General features: G+C 45.2%; 5 annotated features.

Moving 5' to 3' along the window:
* Positions 1,398-1,898: an enhancer, noted in NCBI's record as "H3K4me1 hESC enhancer chr12:66135292-66135792 (GRCh37/hg19 assembly coordinates)". NCBI's record gives its function as "activates a minimal SCP1, AML or CMV promoter by ChIP-STARR-seq in primed H9 embryonic stem cells {active_cell/tissue: H9 hESC(primed)}" and the evidence as "EXISTENCE:reporter gene assay evidence [ECO:0000049][PMID:30033119]".
* Positions 1,399-1,448: a silencer, noted in NCBI's record as "silent region_4634". NCBI's record gives its function as "represses an Ori minimal core promoter by ATAC-STARR-seq in GM12878 lymphoblastoid cells {active_cell/tissue: GM12878}" and the evidence as "EXISTENCE:reporter gene assay evidence [ECO:0000049][PMID:35858748]".
* Positions 1,899-2,399: an enhancer, noted in NCBI's record as "H3K4me1 hESC enhancer chr12:66135793-66136293 (GRCh37/hg19 assembly coordinates)". NCBI's record gives its function as "activates a minimal SCP1, AML or CMV promoter by ChIP-STARR-seq in naive H9 embryonic stem cells {active_cell/tissue: H9 hESC(naive)}" and the evidence as "EXISTENCE:reporter gene assay evidence [ECO:0000049][PMID:30033119]".
* Positions 4,941-5,141: a silencer, noted in NCBI's record as "peak1768 fragment used in MPRA reporter construct". NCBI's record gives its function as "represses an SCP1 promoter by STARR-seq MPRAs in K562 erythroleukemia cells {active_cell/tissue: K562}" and the evidence as "EXISTENCE:reporter gene assay evidence [ECO:0000049][PMID:32103011]".
* Positions 17,143-17,192: an enhancer, noted in NCBI's record as "active region_6609". NCBI's record gives its function as "activates an Ori minimal core promoter by ATAC-STARR-seq in GM12878 lymphoblastoid cells {active_cell/tissue: GM12878}" and the evidence as "EXISTENCE:reporter gene assay evidence [ECO:0000049][PMID:35858748]".

Consider the following 17,242-nt stretch of genomic DNA (forward strand, 5'->3'; position numbering starts at 1 on the left):
CAAAAAACTAGCCGGGCGTGGTGGTGGGCGCCTGTAGTCCCAGCTACTTGGAAGGCTGAGGCAGGAGAATGGCGTGAACCTGGGAGGCGGAGCTTGCAGTGAGCCGAGATCGCACCACTGCACTCCGGCCTGGGTGACACAGCGAGACTGCGTCTCAAAAAAAAAAAAAAAGAAAGAAAGAAAAAGATGTTCTGAAAGAAACTCCAGGATGAGCAACTGCCTTCAAGGGCAGAGGTTTTAAGTTGCCAATAAAATAAAATAGTGACAAGTAAACACTGCGCCTCATCAAGAGGAGCAAGGCAGCTTCTGTTGTGTAGCCGATGTTCCCATTTTCAGAACGTAGATGTAGGTGAGTGAGAAGAAAGAGGATATATAAACCGTCTTCCAGCTCAAATTTGAAATTAAAAGAAAAAAAGACCTAAAAGAGGGGGCCTGCCCTCCACCAACAAGGCAGCAAACCTTGCAGCCTGTGGGGCTTCACCATAGCACAAACCAAGCACCTTTACTTGCAGCTCTCTAAGGGCCCAGATTTGAGTTTTGACTCAGAGAAGAGAGAGCAGAGGTCTCTAGAAATGCCTGTTGGGTTTGAAGAATGCTGATGACATTTTTGCAACTATCCTTTATCATCTGTTTTCTGTACTTCCACCACTGGCTCCACCTTTTTCTTTCTGCAGTTCAAAATCGTTCTGTGAAATATCTCCTCCATTTCAAATCTTGGCTCTTCACCACTCAGTTTAAGAGTAGCAAACACCTTGCAGCCTGAGGTTCCACCTTGAACATGGAGAACATTCAAACACAATATGGGGGAGGAGGCGACCTGCGTGACTTTTAACATCCCCTTCATATCCTCCCACTGGGCGCATTTTAAGCGCCAGCGCTCACCACATCCGGCTGCCCCACCGCCCGCGCCCGGAGCCCCAACATTCCCAGTCCTCTCCCTTCTCTCACTTCTAGGTCAACAAATATTTTAATAGGTCCTTTTGAACAGATGTGGCCTGTAGATGTATGCAATGACCCCATCGGAAATAATTTGGGGTGAAGGGGGAAGGCGACCTTCCTCTCCAGGAGAGCCTTTATTGTATAATCTCTAGTTAATGAGCCTCTCTCTGGGCCTCAAACCGGGCGAGTTATTATCCGTGTCTGCAAGTCTGGAGAAGAGGCTAAGAAGCAAACCTCCTGGGTGTCCGGGACCACCGGCCTTAGCCTTCTCCAAGCCCAGGGCAGGGCGAGAAGAACATGGCCCGGTTCCCCTCGGGGTCTCTGGCCCAGCTGCGGAGGGGGAAAGGTGATCGATCTTGCTGGGGGCCACCGCTAGCCCACCGCTTCCTGCCGCGACCTGCCGCGGCGGCCGGAGCCCGGGAGCTTCCCATTGGCTCACGGGCCGACGCCATGCAGTCTGGGGGGGCGTGGCCGGGCGGCGGGGCGTGGCCAGGCGGTGCGGGGAACTGCGGAGAGAGGAGAGGAGAGGAGAGGAGGGGAGGGGAGGGGAGAGGAGTGGAGAGGAGAGGAGGGGAGGGGAGGGCAGGGGCGGGGCGGGGCCGGGCGGCGGGGGCGCACACCCCAATCTCCCTAGCGCTGTGGGGGTGGCTGCAGCTCCCCGCGCGCTCCCTCCTTTGGGGGGGTTTCTGGGCTCGTGACTTTTTTTTAAATAAAGAATGAGCGGATGCCCGTGACAAGTTAATAGCTCTCGCCGCGCTCTAAAGTTAAGTTGTATCTCCTTCCCGCCGCGAGTCTCCTTCCACAGACCCGCCGGAGCTGCCGGGACGGGCGCTGCGCGGGACTGGGCGTTAGGTGCTCCCGGCTGGTTCCGGCGAGCAGCCCCCACCCCTCGCCCACGCTCGGGGTTAGAGACCCCAGCACCCCACGCAGACGGCCCGGGCTTAGACCTCTCCACGTCGCTGTGGCGCGCGCCCCGCCAACACCCCCACCCCACGCGCAGCCCGTGTCTTCTTTACCCCCGCGCACTTAACGCAGGGCGCACGCACGCATCCCGGCCCCCTCACACTCACACTGCGTCTTCTGTCACACCCCCTGTCGCACACACACTGTTCTCTGACTCCCACCATCTCCTGTCTCACACCCACTCCAGTTTCGTGTTGAGCGGCCGCCAGTTCTCCCTCGGTCGCGCCGGCGCACGCTCGTCCCCTTCTGCCCCGGAGCCCGCCCGCGCCGCACGGTGGCCCCTTGCGCTGGCCTGATCGTGGGAACCAGGCGGGGCCCCAGCGTCCCTGCCCCTGCCCGGTCATCCATCTCCCTCCCGGTCGGCCAGCCGAGACTTCAAAGGCGCCTCCTCCGGCCGGGCCTGCCAAACCCCGACGCAGCCTGGATGTGGGCCGGGGGCGCTCCCCGGCGGGGGGAGGCCGGGCCAGGGCGCGTCTGGGGCCGGCTCCGTCCTTAGTGCGGCGGCGGCGGACTCCAGAGCTGACCGCGGGGCCACCCCCGCCGCGGCCGGGCCACGCGCGGGCCACCCGGGAGCTTCTACCAGCCCAGCGAGCACGCGCCGGCGGGAGGGGGGCCTCATTTTCATGGCAAGGGAAATCCGGATAAGGATGGACTCCTTTCGGAGGAGAATGGGAACGCGCTAGTCCTGGTGCCTGACCCTCTCTCCTAAAGAAAATGAGTCTCCCCTGGAGCTTAAGCCATATTTCCTTCGCCTCCTTTCCTCCTTCCCATTCGGACACCCCTAATTGACAGGCTCTAATCCTCGGATCAGAACTACTTCTGCCTGGAAGATTTGGCCGGCTTTTCCTTTTCTCTCAGCGTTCCTGCAAAGCCAATTCGTTCTGAGCTGCACTGATGGCGGGCTGAGGGAGGAGGGCTACTTCCAACTTCTGGCACCACCTGGGTGGTCGCCGTAACCGAGTGATTCCTTTACAGCTATTTATAATCCTTAACTTTATGAAGGTTCTTTTGCTTAGAAGAGTTAAAGAAGGTTTAAGTATTCTATTTTGGCACTGATGTGGGGCATAGTCACTGAATGATATTTATCTATATTCAACTAGACTATGAATTTTTTGAGCATAGGGGTGTGTTAGTTCGCAGGCCGCAGATTCTAGCATAGGGCATGGCAAATAAATTGTAGCTGTGCAATCAATTATGTTGAATTCAAATGAACCAGCTTTTTGCATGGAGCTTTCCAAACACTTTATCATACTTAAAAATGTTATGTAAAGCTTTCCAAGAAGGAAGGAAAACAGAAGGAGAAAAAGAAACGGAGGATGCAAGAAGGAATCCCAGAATCATTTCAGATCCTTTGAAAGAAAGAGGTTAGATTTAAATCTCAAAGCTAAACCAGACAGATCTGCATATCTGAGAACACAGAAGCCCTAAAACCAATATTAAACATCATCTCAAGTTCATAGTGTTTTCCTGGCTAACAATGCTAGCTTCTCTTAATGTAAGTCTCTAACTTTAAATTGTCCTTATTACTTTTTCTGTCGTGTCTTGAGCTATGAACACAAGGCTAGACTGGACACAGATTGTTCAAATCTAGAAATTGGCAACTTAAGATTTTTATCTGTTAGCCAGCTTTTATCCCATTTAAAGGAAAGGAAGGAGTTAGCATAACCATATTAACTGTTTAGAAAAATTGGTGGCAGTATGGAGGATTCAGTAAAGTGCCTCCAGAGTAACCCGTGGCGGGACATCAATGAGCATTAATATCCTTCTGTAGATCATCTACAATGTAGACAAATGTTTTCATCCAACAATACATTTTTGAGACACATCCATTTTGAGACGTGTAGGGATATACCATTGAATGAATATACCAGAATGTATTTATTCATTCTCCCATAGGGACATTTAGTAGGCCTTTTTTTTTTTTTTCTACTAAAAATAATGTAGTGACATCTTTGTGGTGGTGGTCCCCTTGTTTGCAGATGAAAGTGTTTTCTCTTACTTTTGTCCCTAGAAATGAAATTGCTGGGTTGTAGGGTTACATACTTTCATCTTTACTAGATATCAATCACCAAACTATTCTTCCAAGTGGTTGTAACAGTTTATTCTCTTAGCAGTATGTCAGCCACCTGCTTTCCCCTCATCCCCAGCAATACTTGGCATTGAGAGGTGACAGCATGCTGGCAGTCCACACAGCCCTCGCTCGCTCTCGGCGCCTCCTCTGCCTGGGCTCCCACTTTGGCTGCACTTGAGGAGCCCTTCAGCCCGCCGCTGCACTGTGGGAGCCCCTTTCTGGGCTGGCCAAGGCCGGAGCCGGCTCCCTCAGCTTGCGGGGAGGTGTGGAGGGAGAGGCGCAGGGGGCAACCGGGGCTGTGCACGGTGCTTGCGGGCCAGCACGAGTTCCGGGTGGGCGTGGGCTCACGGGCCCCGCACTAGGAGCAGCTGGCTGGCCCCGCAGGCCCCGGGTAGTGAGGGGCTTAGCACCTGGGCCAGCAGCTGCTGTGCTCAATTTCTCGCCGGGCCTTAGCTGCCTTCCTGCGGGGCAGGACTCAGGACCTGCAGCCCGCCATGCCTGAGCCTCCCCCACCTCCATGGGCTCCTGTGCAGCCCGAGCCTCCCCAGCGAGTGCCGCCCCCAGCCCTACGGCGCCCAGTCCCATCGACCACCCAAAGGCTGAGGAGTGTGGGCGCACCGTGCGGGATTGGCAGGCAGCTCCACTTGTGGCCCTGTGCGGGATCCACTGGGTGAAGCCAGCTGGGCTCCTGAGTCTGGTGGGGACTTGGAGAACCTTTATGTCTAGCTAAGGGATTGTGAATACACCAATCAGCACTTTGTATCTAGTTCAAGGTTTGTAAACACACCAATCAGAACCCTGTGTCTAGCTCAGGGTTTGTGAATGCACCAATCGACACTGTATCCAGCTACTCTGGTGGGGACTTGGAGAATCTTTATGTCTAGCTAAGGGATTGTGAATACACCAATCAGCATTCTGTATCTAGCTCAAGGTTTGTAAAGACACCAATCAGCACCCTGTGTCTAGCTCAGGGTTTGTGAATGCACCAATTCACACTCTGTATCTAGCTACTCTGGTGGGGACTTGGAGAACCTTTGTGTTGACACTCTGTATCTAGCTAATCTAGTGGGGATGTGGAGAACCTTTGTGTCTAGCTCAGGGACTGTAAACGCACCAATCAGCACCTTGTCAAAACAGACCACTCCGCTCTCTGTAAAATGGACCAATCAACAGGATGTGGGTGGGGCCAGATAAGAGAATAAAAGCAGGCTGCGGCAGCCAGCAGTGGCAACCCGCTGGCGTCCCGTTCAACACTGTGGAAGCTTTGTTCTTTCGCTCTTTGCGATAACTCTTGCTGTTGCTCACTCTTTAGGTCCACATTGCCTTTATGAGCTGTAATACTCACTGCGAAGGTCTGCAGCTTCACTCCTGAAGCCAGCGAGACCACGAACCCACCGGGAGAAATGAACAACTCCACACGCGCGGCCTTAAGAGCTGTAACACTCACGGCAAAGGTCCGCAGCTTCACTCCTGAGCTAGCGAGACCACGAACCCACCAGAAGGAAGAAACTCCGAACACATCCGAACATCAGAAGGAACAAACTCCAGACGCGCCACCTTAAGAGCTGTAACACTCACCGCGAGGGTCCGCGGCTTCATTCTTGAAGTCAGTGAGACCAAAAACCCACCAATTCCGGACACAGTATTAGCCGACTTTCCCATTTTCCCCCAGTTTCATGAATATGAAGTGGATGGTACATCACTGTAATTTACTCTTTCCTAGAATTTTACCTTTTCCCTGAATTTTACTTATTCAAGGCTTTTAAAATTCTCTAAACCAGTATTGTTCAATAGAACTTTCTTGCCAGGGTGGAAATGTTCTCCCTTTGATGGGTTTCTTTCCACTTTAGTGAGTCCTCTAAACTGCCATCCATTTTCCTACAAAGGAAATCTGATCATGTCAACTAAACTTTAAAATGTGACAAAACTGGAAAAAGTTTAGATTATCTGTGGTTTATTTATTGCCTACAGGCTGCACCAAATTATAAAGCTTGGACCACAAGGGTTTTATATCCAGCTCTGCTCTGTATTTCCACCTTTATCTCCAGGCTCTGAATCCCACATGCTCTGTGCTGAACTTCTTACTCAAAAAACACCATATCCCAGCTCTCTGAACCTTGTACTTGCAGGCCTCTCTCCTTGGTTTGCATTTTTTCTTCCCTCACTTGCTACTCATGCTTCTTTCCTAGCATGCCTCCTCTACCAGAATGAGCTTCATGGGGATGAAAGACTTTTCTTATTCATTTTTGTATCCCTAGTATCCACCCTGGTGCAAGCAAAATAGCTGGGGTGCAATATTTGTTGAACGCGTGCATGAATGAGTGAGCGAAGTGTACTACCAAAAAAAATGGCTGAAGGAGAAAAATATAGAATACAGTAAATAACTCTAAAACAACAGCCTTCTATCAACCATAGGCTATAGGTAATTCAAAATAGGTAATTCTTATATTAAACTGTATTCTTTTCCACTGACCTTTTAATTTATTATGGGTTAGTATTATTCCTCCTAGTTAACAAAGAAAAACTTTCCCAAAACCTGTCACTGAAGAATGCTTCAGCTACAAGAAGCAGAGAAACAAAATCAAAAGAACAAGCACGTAAAACCTGATGACCAGTAGCTTAAACAAACATTTTTTTTTTTTCCAATTCATAAGAAGCCTGAGGAGACTGCAACTGGGACAGACTGTGGCATCTCTGCTAAGCTCTGACCTTTTCCTTCCTGTCACAGAGCTGCTGCTGCTCCTGACAGATCCATATTGAATGAAGAGGAGAAAGAAGGAACAATGCCAGCTTGACTATCCCTTATGAAAGCAAAAATGTTCCCACAACACCCCATCACAGCAGACTTCTTATAATTTTATTGGCCAAAATTGGGTAAATGGCCACTCCTAGCATCCAAGGAGGTACAGATGACCTTCACAGTTATGAGCCAATGAATGGGACGCATTGCCAGCACAAGGCAAAGAGGGTTTTGTTAGTGAGGAAGAAAGGCTAATAGTGGATAGTTAGCAAAGCATCTTCCATAAAACAAGACCCAGCATTTAAAACGTTAAAACCAAATATCTGGTCTAATCTCATGTTTTAGCCACTCCCATTCCACCTCCCAGAAGGCATAGAGGCCTGAAGACTTAAAATGTCCCAAGATGTACTATAGGACTTTCGGGCTTTTGACTTGCAGACCCTGTTTCCCTTTAACAAGAAGAAAAAAAAAAATAGGGGGTGGGGGAACTAAAAATAGGCATAGTGAAAAGGAGGAATTATAAAATTGGATTCAAGAAGTTGCCTCTATACCAGGGCTGCTACTTCAGATTGCTTGAATTGGGTCCTTCTTACTGTGACCCACTGCTCACAGAACTGGACATTCAGCGTTTACCTTTCTAAGACATCACAGTGCACACAAATCAAGGAGACAGACAGCAATGCTGCAGCAGGGCAGGAGGAACATGGAATTAGGCTGAAGGGTAAACATCAGGGTTCACCATCGATCTATCTATTTATTTCAAGTGCCGTGACTGGATCCCTGAATGCAAAATATTTGGGTCAGATCCTGGAGTAAATAAGGCATTAATTGGCAGCAGCTTAGATGACTAAAGTGGAGAGAAATGTATGAAAGGTAGATTATAAATACACTATATCCTTTTTGTATGTTGCTGACAGTGCTGGCAAGGTAATACAATTTTAGGATAATGAAAAGGGATAAAATAAGAACATTATTTCTTGATAATTTCCAAGAAGATATGAACCACTTGTTGTATATATGTCCTATATGCCTCACGTGAACTTCCTACCTTTTCAGTTTCTCCAAATTTTATCTCCTTTTTAAGTCTCTGCAATTTACTACTACAACTCATTTGTTCATTCATCTTTTAACAAGTAACTCAAGTTCCATTTGAGCAAGTTCCTAGCACCATAAACAAACCAACTCTGGAGAGTGAATTTGGAAGAATGGAGGACACTGTCTGCTGGATAAATAGTGTTACGGACTGCATGTTTGTAATCTCCCAAAATTCATATGTTGAAACTTTAGCCCCCAGAGGAATGGTAGTAAGACATGGTGTCTTTGGCAGGTAATTAGGTTTAAATGAGATCATGAAGGTGGAGTCCTCATAATAGGATTAGTATACTTATAAGGAGAGAAACAGACTAGCACTTGCAATCTCTGCCATGTGAGGACACAGCAAAAATACGTCTGTCTGCAAACCAGGAAGAAGGGACTCACCAAGAACCCAACCATGAAGCACCCTGATCTTGAACTTCCAGCCTCTAGAACTGTGAAAAGTAAATATTTGTTGTTTAAGCCACCCAGTCTATGGTATTTCTGTTATAGCAGCCCTGATTGACTAAAATAAATAGGGATTTTTAAAAAATGGCTACATTTGCTTATGAATGAATTGATAATTACTTTCCCTCCATATTTTCAATTGTACGTTATTTATTTATTTATTTATTTATTTATTTATTTTTGAGATAGATATTTTTCCTCCCTTTGTTGCCCAGGCAGGTCTCAAACTTCTGGGCTTAAGTGATCCTCCCACCTCTCAAATGTACTTTAAAATAAGCATATAGTTAACTTTAAAGGAAGACGACTTGTTCCAGTCTCCCTACAACTGAACATGCAAATTGTCTCCCATGTAAAGGAGTTCAAGACAAGCCTGGCCAACATGGTGAAACCCTGTCTCTACTAAAAAATATACAAAAAATTAGCTGGGCAAGGTGGCAGGTGCCTGTAATCCCAGCTATTCAGGAGGCTGAAGCAGGAGAATTGCTTTGAACCCAGGAGGCAGAGGTTGCAGTGAGCTGAGATTGCGCTGCTGCACTCCAGCCTGGGCAACAAGAGTGAAACTCCATCTCAAAAAAAAAAAAAAAAAATTACTAAGCATTCAAAGTACACAAAGAAGGAAAATGTGACCCATAATCAAAGAAAAATAAGTAGTCAATAGAAGTAAATATTGAGATGACACAGATGTTAGAATTAGATGACAGTGACTTTGTAGCAGCTATTAAAAATACATTCAAGGACTTCAGGAAATGATAGACGTAATGAGTGAATAGATGGGAATTTTCAACAGAGAATTGGTAATAAGTAAAGAAACAAATGGAAGTTCTAGAACTGAAAACTGTAATATCTGAAATGAAACATTCATTGGGTGGGCTTAACAGCAAATTGGAGACTACAGAACAGAGGTCCAGATCAATAGAAGTTATTTATTCTGTAATACAAAGAGAAACAACAATTTTTTAAAAAATGAACAAGGGTTCTATGAGTACTAGCAAAATGCCAAGCAGCATAACATATATGTTGGAGTGTCAGAAAGAGAAAAGAAAAAGAATGGAGCAGAAAAAAATATTTGAGAAAAATAATAACCCAGATTTTCCCAAATTTGGTTAAAAAAAACATGAAAGCAAACCTCTAAAATTGCCTAAAAAATCCAAAAAGGTCTGCAAACCACAAACAAGATAAATACCAGCAAAACCACATTTTAGCACATCATAGTCAAACTGCTAAAAACCAAAGATAAAGAGAAAAGTCCGTAAACAGAGGAAAAAAGAAAAATTATACACAGGAGAATGATGATACAAACCATGGCTGACCTCTCATCAGATACAATGGAGGCTGAAAATGAGTAGAGATTACTTTTATAAAATGGAGAATAGAGGAAATGAGGAAAAGGAAGAAAATAAGAACAATGGTGGGCAACAAAACAGGAAGCAAACTTCTAAGATCCTGGAAGTGGATTTGAGGGTGTCTTGTAGAAGCAACTTGGTGGCTCTGTCTAACCTAGAGAATATAAATGAAGTATCACATATGAAACCCTACCTCAAGGATCTTACAGTGTCACTGTAGTGTTTGATTAGGTGTAATAAGATCAAAGAAAGAAGGGACAGAGATAAGCTGGAGGCTTCCGTAGGGAAAGCTGAAAGGGAGATAGGTTGGAGGAGAGATAAAAGTATGCTTGAAGAGGAATCAGATCTGCATAGAGGTGACACACCAGAACAGGGGACCAGCACTAGCAAAGGTGGCAGAATGGGCATAATATCTTCAGGAACCTGACCCACATGGAAGTGGGCAGGTAGGAGGCAGTGAAAAGGGTAGGGACGATCATGACTTTTTTTTTTTTCTTTAATTGAGATGGAGTCTCACTCCATCGCCCAGGCTGGAGTGCAGTGGCACGATCTCGGCCCACTGCAACCTTCCCCTCCCTAGTTCAAGGGATCCTCTCACTTCAGCCTCCTAAGTAGCTGGGACTACAAGGATGCGCACCACCACGGCCAGCTAATTTTTCTATTTTTGGTAGAGATGGGTTTTCACCATGTTGGCCAGGCTGGTCTTGAACCCCTGACCTCAAGTGATCCACCCACCTTGGCCTCCTAAAGTGCTGGGATTACAAGCATGGGCCACTGCACCCGGCCCCTTATTTTCTTCTATATCTTTATGGATTATCTGTGTGGGGCTGTAGGTAATATAGGATCGGGATTAAATGTTGCTGCTCTGAAGTCAGGTTGCCTGGGTTCAAAGCCTCTCTTGGCCCTTTACTAGCAAGCGGCTGGAAGAAGTTACTTAACCTCTGGAGTTTTTCAGTTTCTTTACTTGTAAATAGGTAATAAAACTGTGTCATAGAGGTGTAGTGAGAATTGGATATAAAAAATGTATGTAACACTCTTAGAACCATGTCTGGAATATAGTAAATGTTCAGTATACTGAACATTTGCTGTTATTTTTAAATTGGGTTCTCAATAAATATTTGTTGACTTATTATTGGAGGGATTGGTGGTATCAGCTGAAGCAAAGTGGTTGTTTCAAAGAAGGGCAAAAATACATTTAAGTCACCTGGGATATAGGAAAGTCAACCCACAAAAAAGGAAGCTACTTCTGGAGTAGTCTTGTCACCTGTCATCAGTTGTCTTCGGATGGTGTAGATGAGACATGCAAAGCAACAACATTTCATTGGAGGAGAAGGTTGAATGTGCTGATTTCAGGAGAGAAAATCCTTAAAGAAGGGAGGCCTTAAACTTGTCTGCAACCAGGTCATGTGATTTTTTAACATCATCTGAAATATGCCTGTATAAGCCCAGATTTGTTGCTTAGCAGAGTCACCTCTAAGGAAAAAAATAAACTCTCACAGTCTGTGCAAATGAAGACATTTATTTATTTAGGAGATGGGGTCTTGCACTGTCAACCAGACTGGATTGCAATGGCACCATCACAGCTCACTGCAGCCTGGGCCTCTTGAGCTCAAGGGATCCTCCTGCTTCAGCCTCTGGAGTAGCTAGGAGCACAGTTATGTGCCACCACACCCAGCTACTTTTTAAAATTTTTTGTAGAGACAATATCTCCCTCTATTGCCCAGGCTGGTCTCAAACTCCTGGGCTCAAGCAATCCTCCCACCTTGGCCTCACAAATTGTTGGGATTATAGGTGGGAACCATTGCGCGCAGTCTCAAATGAAGACTTGAAAACTAAAATCAGGCTGGGTGCGGGTGGCTCACACCTCTAATCCCAGCACCTTGGGAGGCCGAGGCAGGTGGATCACCTGAGGTCAGGAGTTTGAGACCAGCCTGGCCAATGTGGCTAAACCCTGTCCCTACTAAAAGTACAAAAAAATTAGCCAGGTGTGGTGGTGTGCACTTGTAGTCCCAGCTACTTGGGAGGCTGAGGCAGAAGACTCGCTTGCACCTGGGAGGTGGAGGTTGCAGGGAGATGAGATTTCCCCATTGCACTCCAGCCTGGGCGACAGCGAGACTCCGTCTCAAAAAAAAAGAAAAAGAAAATCACGGTACCTCTTGATCTACCAACTGCTATAAGAAATTGCTGTTTTCCTCACAGAGCCATAGTCAGTACAGAAGAAGAAAAGTGGCTCAAGTTTCATATACTCTTTATTTTTTTTTTAGATAGAGTCTCACTTTGTCCCCCGGCTGGAGTGTGCAGTGGTGCGATCTCGGCTCACTGCAACCTCTGCCTCCCGGAATCAAGTGATTCTTCTGCCTCAGCCTCCCAAGTAGCTGGGATTACAGGCATGTGCCACCACACCCGGCTAATTGTTGTATTTTTTAGTAGAGACGGATTTCGCCATGTTGGCCGGCCTGGTCTCGAACTCCTGATCTCAAATGATATGCCTGCCTTGGCCTTCCAAAGTGCTGGGATACAGGCATGAGCCATGGCACCAGGCCAATTTCATACACTTTTTTGGGAGACAACAAATATCCCCCCTTGAATAAATATTTTCTAATCATAGGCTTCATGTGAAAGTTCAAAGGACTTTCTACCCCTCATAATTGCAGGATTCACTCATCTTCAAGCTCCGCATTGTTAGTAGTAGTCTCTCCAAAGCAGTGTCCTTCTGGATGAACTTAACGGATGATTTTAGCAAAGATCTCTATGCTAAAATCCATGACATCCACCATCCAAAGAAGAACTTGAACCAGGGAAGAGCGCTTGTCTCTCAAGTGATCGCCATATTATATTAATAGAAAGATTAGCTTGTACTTTTGACTTTTGAGCTGCTACATATGTCCAGTCGATGGAAATCCATCCAGCTACAAGGCGTTTTTACCTTTTTTTTTTTTTTTGAGACAGAGTCTCTCTCTGTCGCCCAGGCTGGAGTGCAGTGATGTGATCTCGGCTCAAGGCAACCTCCACCTCCCAGGTTCAAGCGATTCTTCTGCCTCAGCCTCCCAAGTAGCTGGGACTACAGGCACGTGCCACCACATCCAGCTAATTTTTGTATTTTTAGTAGAGATGGGGTTTCACCATGTTGCCTAGGCTGGTCTTGAACTCCTGACCTTGTGATCCATCCACCTCGATCTCCCAAAGTGCTGGGATTACAGGCATGAGCCAATACGCCCGACTGTTTTTACCTCTTTTCCACATATTTATCCTTCTACATAGAAATTCATGGTCAGGAAATACCAGAATTTTTGGTACATTCTGGAAGTGCCACAACTGACATGAAAGGTAAACTACATGAAAGGTAAATTCACAACATGAAAGGTAAATTAAAATGTCTACATATTTGGGAAAGGTGAGATTCTGGGACTTCATGAAGTCTGGAGTGAATAGAAAATTTTGGGACCTAAAAGTTTAACTTACTCCCCCTGTCATTCTATTAGCTGAATGGGCATTTAAGTCATTCCAAGGTTTTGAGGACTGATTCTATTTCTGAGGCCATGTAAATAAGAACTAAGTTTTATACTTATTTGGTGTAATGGTTGGAGACAAAGGAAATAAAGGAAACCAACATCAAATCATCAATTTCCACAAGACTTGGAAGACAGACAAGGTGCATTTTACAAATAAATACACCTCACCACTCAGAGTTCAATCTAGGGGAAATCTTTTACCAATGTCTTTCAAGCCTCCTCCAGCAGAACTGTTGGCTCTGAAATTTTTGTCAGGTACAGGAGAAAAGAAGTGGCTAACAAGCAAATACTTCCAATAGGTGTAATGACCTAGTCAGGGCTGCTGTTTTTCTTAGCCTTGAAACTAAATAGATGGAATACTTTTGACTAAAATGCATCCACATCATGTAGAAAAAAGAAAAAGCCAATCCAACAAGGTTCTGGTGAAACACACTACCTGAAAAAATTCTGCATTATCAAGAGTTGAATGTATTATCTGGGTTATCAAGAATTGAATTGAATCCAATTCTCGGATTGTAGACTGAAATTTTCTGACATCTGGTCACAGGACTTTGCTTTGTTGATGCCTTGGCAAAATTAGTTCTCCTCTCATTCTCAAGGCATCACCTGGGATTAGTTGGACCCAAAAGTCTAAATGATGCCATTTGGATCATATCATCATGGGGGAGCACCACTGAGATGAGCCAGACTGGTGTTGGAACCACACTCATTTGCTAATTCTCTTCTCTTTTTTCTCTTAGCACTTAGGAGATCTGGCCATCTTACCTTCTCTATAGTGTTTGGATAGAAAGATCTCTCGGTAGTGCTGTCCCAGGAATTCTGTCCTCACCCTTTCAGCATCAAGTGCAGATGAACCCAACACGTGTGTGAGAGATATAGTGGCAGAGTTATTGAGAAACAAAAACACTTTCTGCAGACCAGCCTACATCTGAGATGGCAACACCACGCTTCCCCTTGAAAGCTGGTTGGCATGGAACTTTTATTTTGCTGTGAAACATCTAAACTGCCCCTCCTTTTGGGCATGTCACAGCTGCTGTGATTTTGATTTGGAGGGTTTGATATGTTTATGAACTCTTTGTGCTTTCTGTAATGGCTTGAATCTACTTTAACAGCTGGATTTCCAGAGACAAGCTGTGGCAATGTCCCTCTTCTCCCTAATACATATATAACCTATGCTTTATTGAAGATCTTAATCATCACTTTCTTACACAGGCAAACTTCTCACTTTCAGGGCTTATGTAAAACACAAAGTATTCGTCTTTATGTAAAATGATGTCAGGCATCCGAGGCTTTAGTAGATTTCTGCAATGCTTTGGTGGTGGGTGTGTGTGTGTGTGCTGTGAGACCAGGTTTTAAATCCTTAAGGTAAGACTTTTAATGAGAACCAACTGTCAAAGGAGCTCATTTTCAGAATTTGTACCACAACTTTATTTTGAAAACACAAGTTTTGCTAGAACTGGTTAGTTTTGAGCGGGCTTAGGGAAAGGGGGCTGTTTTAAGTGTCTGAGCAGAATTGAAAAATAAGTGGACCCTCAAAAAGAGAAACGACATGCTCTTTCTAGGGAAGAAACAGGAGAACTTTCAGCCATCCCACTAGGCCAGTGTTTTCCCAGCTCTGCAGCACTCTTGTAAATTTGTAAATTTGCCACAGCTCACTTGTAAATTTGCCAGGGTGGCAGGGACACATGATTCTTAGCTGGGAGGCATGCCAGCTATCAGACGCCCCCAACTCTCAGGAGGGAGAAGGGGGCGGGTGCCCAGAGACCACCCTGGGTTATGTTTATTTTGGGGGATACTTGCTGGTACTGATAGCAAATCTCCCTAGACGGATGCAGCTCACAGTGGAATGTCCTGTTGAGAATTCCTCAACTCCCTGGTATCAGACCTAGCACCTTATAAAGTAAATCCTTACATTATAACAAAGGTAAGTCCAGCCTTTCCTATCTGGTCTTATATGTCACCTGATCTTTCAGGTTATTCTGTGCTTGACTCTGTCTCACCAGAAACCCCTTGTTTATTCTAAGCAGACAGAAACCCATAGTTCTTACTCATTTTATCAATTCTCCCTCACTGTTCTCAAATCCCTTTCATTCCTTTTCGTTCCTGGTTACCTCATTGTCCCTTGACCTCCAAAGAATCATCTCACACCCACAAGCCAGACAGATTAATATCCCTGTTTCCCAAGGTGTGTGTTTGGTCTGGCTCCAGCTGACCACTGGGATTTTGAGCCACAACACTATCGTTGAGAGGAAACTCCCTCCCTTTTTATACTAAATGTAGGCATTCTCCTGACCCTTAATCTAGCCTGAAAAAAAAAAATCTATCTATCTTCCCAAACGTTTCTGAGGGGGAACTTAACGCTCTCTTATCATCCACAAACTTCTCTTGAACCTTTGAGCTCCAAAAGAGAGTATAGATGCCATCTTAGAGATTAGGAATGTTTTGCGGTGTATTTTTAGGGACTTTTAAATCAATAAATCTCAACGTGGGTGATTCAACCAATGGATTTACGCAACTCAGGCATGGATGAGTTCAGTAAATCCTGTCTCATTGCCAAGCCCACTGAACTCACCACCTGAGTTCCACAGCAGGCACTCAGAAGAGCAAATTATTCAGCAGTGGTGGAGAAAGATGGGCTTGGGGATAAAGGAAGGTCAAGGAGTGTTTTGTTCTCTTGTGGTAAGAAACGAAGGGAAGGAGAGGAAAAACAGTTCTAGAATAGCCTACTAGCACAACCTTTGCTTTAGAGATGCTGTTTCAGCTGTCCTCATTTCATTGGGCTTATTTCTCCACCATTTGTGAAGAATAAGCAGGTGTTATGTGTTTCTTGTTATTGTTGGTCGCTGTAGTTTGTAAGATTCAGGATGGCTTCCAAAGAAAAAGTCGTATGAACATATTATAAGTTAGTTTTTCTGGCCTTTATGATGCTACAGAATCACATGCATGTCATGACATTCACCACATTTATGACTTTTATTTGGAGAAACACTGGAAATGAACAGTAGCAATGTATCTGCGTAGGGAGAATTCAATGTCAAAATCCCTAGGGAATGCTTCCCTCTATGTCCTCTTATTCATTCCTCCCTCCTTCCCTTCCTCCTTCTTCTCTTCCCTTCCTTTCTTTTGCTTGAGTGAACCAGGGGAAACCATTCATCTGGAAGCCTCCAAATGTAGAATTTTAAAAAATTTAGTCCTTGGCAGATCCTTGCAAAGTTTGAGAACAACTGGCCATTTACATGCATACATATGCACATGTGCACATTGCAACGAGCCCACTCATCACTTAAAACTATACTGGGATTTAAAACAATGTTTAGATGCTTTAATTAGATAGCAAATTTTTGGTTCGTGTTGGATCTCTTATTTTGTTGGCTAGGTAGTTCGGGGTGCGGTGGTGACAGAAGTTTAAGAAACGGAGCAGAGAGGTGAGGGCAAACTAGTCAGAATCTTCCTTTCTCTAGTCCCTTGTGCTAATTCTTACATTTTGTGATTGTGGCATGTTTGCTCTGCTCTGAGTACAGAACCCCAGCATATGTCCAACTGTCTGCACAAGTGGGAGAAAGGAGGTCTTTTACATGACTAGTGTTGACGGCAATGCTGTTAATTAATGTAGCCATAGCAAACTATTCATCAAATTTATGTCTGCACATGGCTTTCTTTACCTTAAATTCAGGCACTTGTTTTACCTTCCCTACATCTATTTTAGTCAAGTAGCCAAGTCACCTGAAAAAATCCATAGACTTTTGAAACCCTACATGCAAGATTAATGTCAGATCAAAGGAGATGAAACACATGCACTTTTTTTCTAAACACAGAATGCAAACAGTCAAACTGAGAAGGTTCTCAGTCTTCTTGTTTCCGAATGAATCATCCATTTCACGGTTGATTGTACTTCCCAAGGTGGCTGCAGTAGATCTCTTATCATACATACTCTTCTTACAACTTGATGTTGACACTCTTCTCATAAACCTGAGAGGGCCTTTGACTATGGTGGAAGTGACACTATGTGACTTCTAAGGCTAGGCCATAAAGAAAGATCTAGTTTCTACCTGGCTGTCTTAAGACAGTTGCTCTAAGGACCCTGTCACCATGCTGTGAGGAAGCCAAGCAGCCACAGAGAGAGACCACATGT

Source organism: Homo sapiens, chromosome 12, assembly GCF_000001405.40.
Source record: "Homo sapiens chromosome 12, GRCh38.p14 Primary Assembly".
NCBI classification, from domain to species: domain Eukaryota; kingdom Metazoa; phylum Chordata; class Mammalia; order Primates; family Hominidae; genus Homo; species Homo sapiens.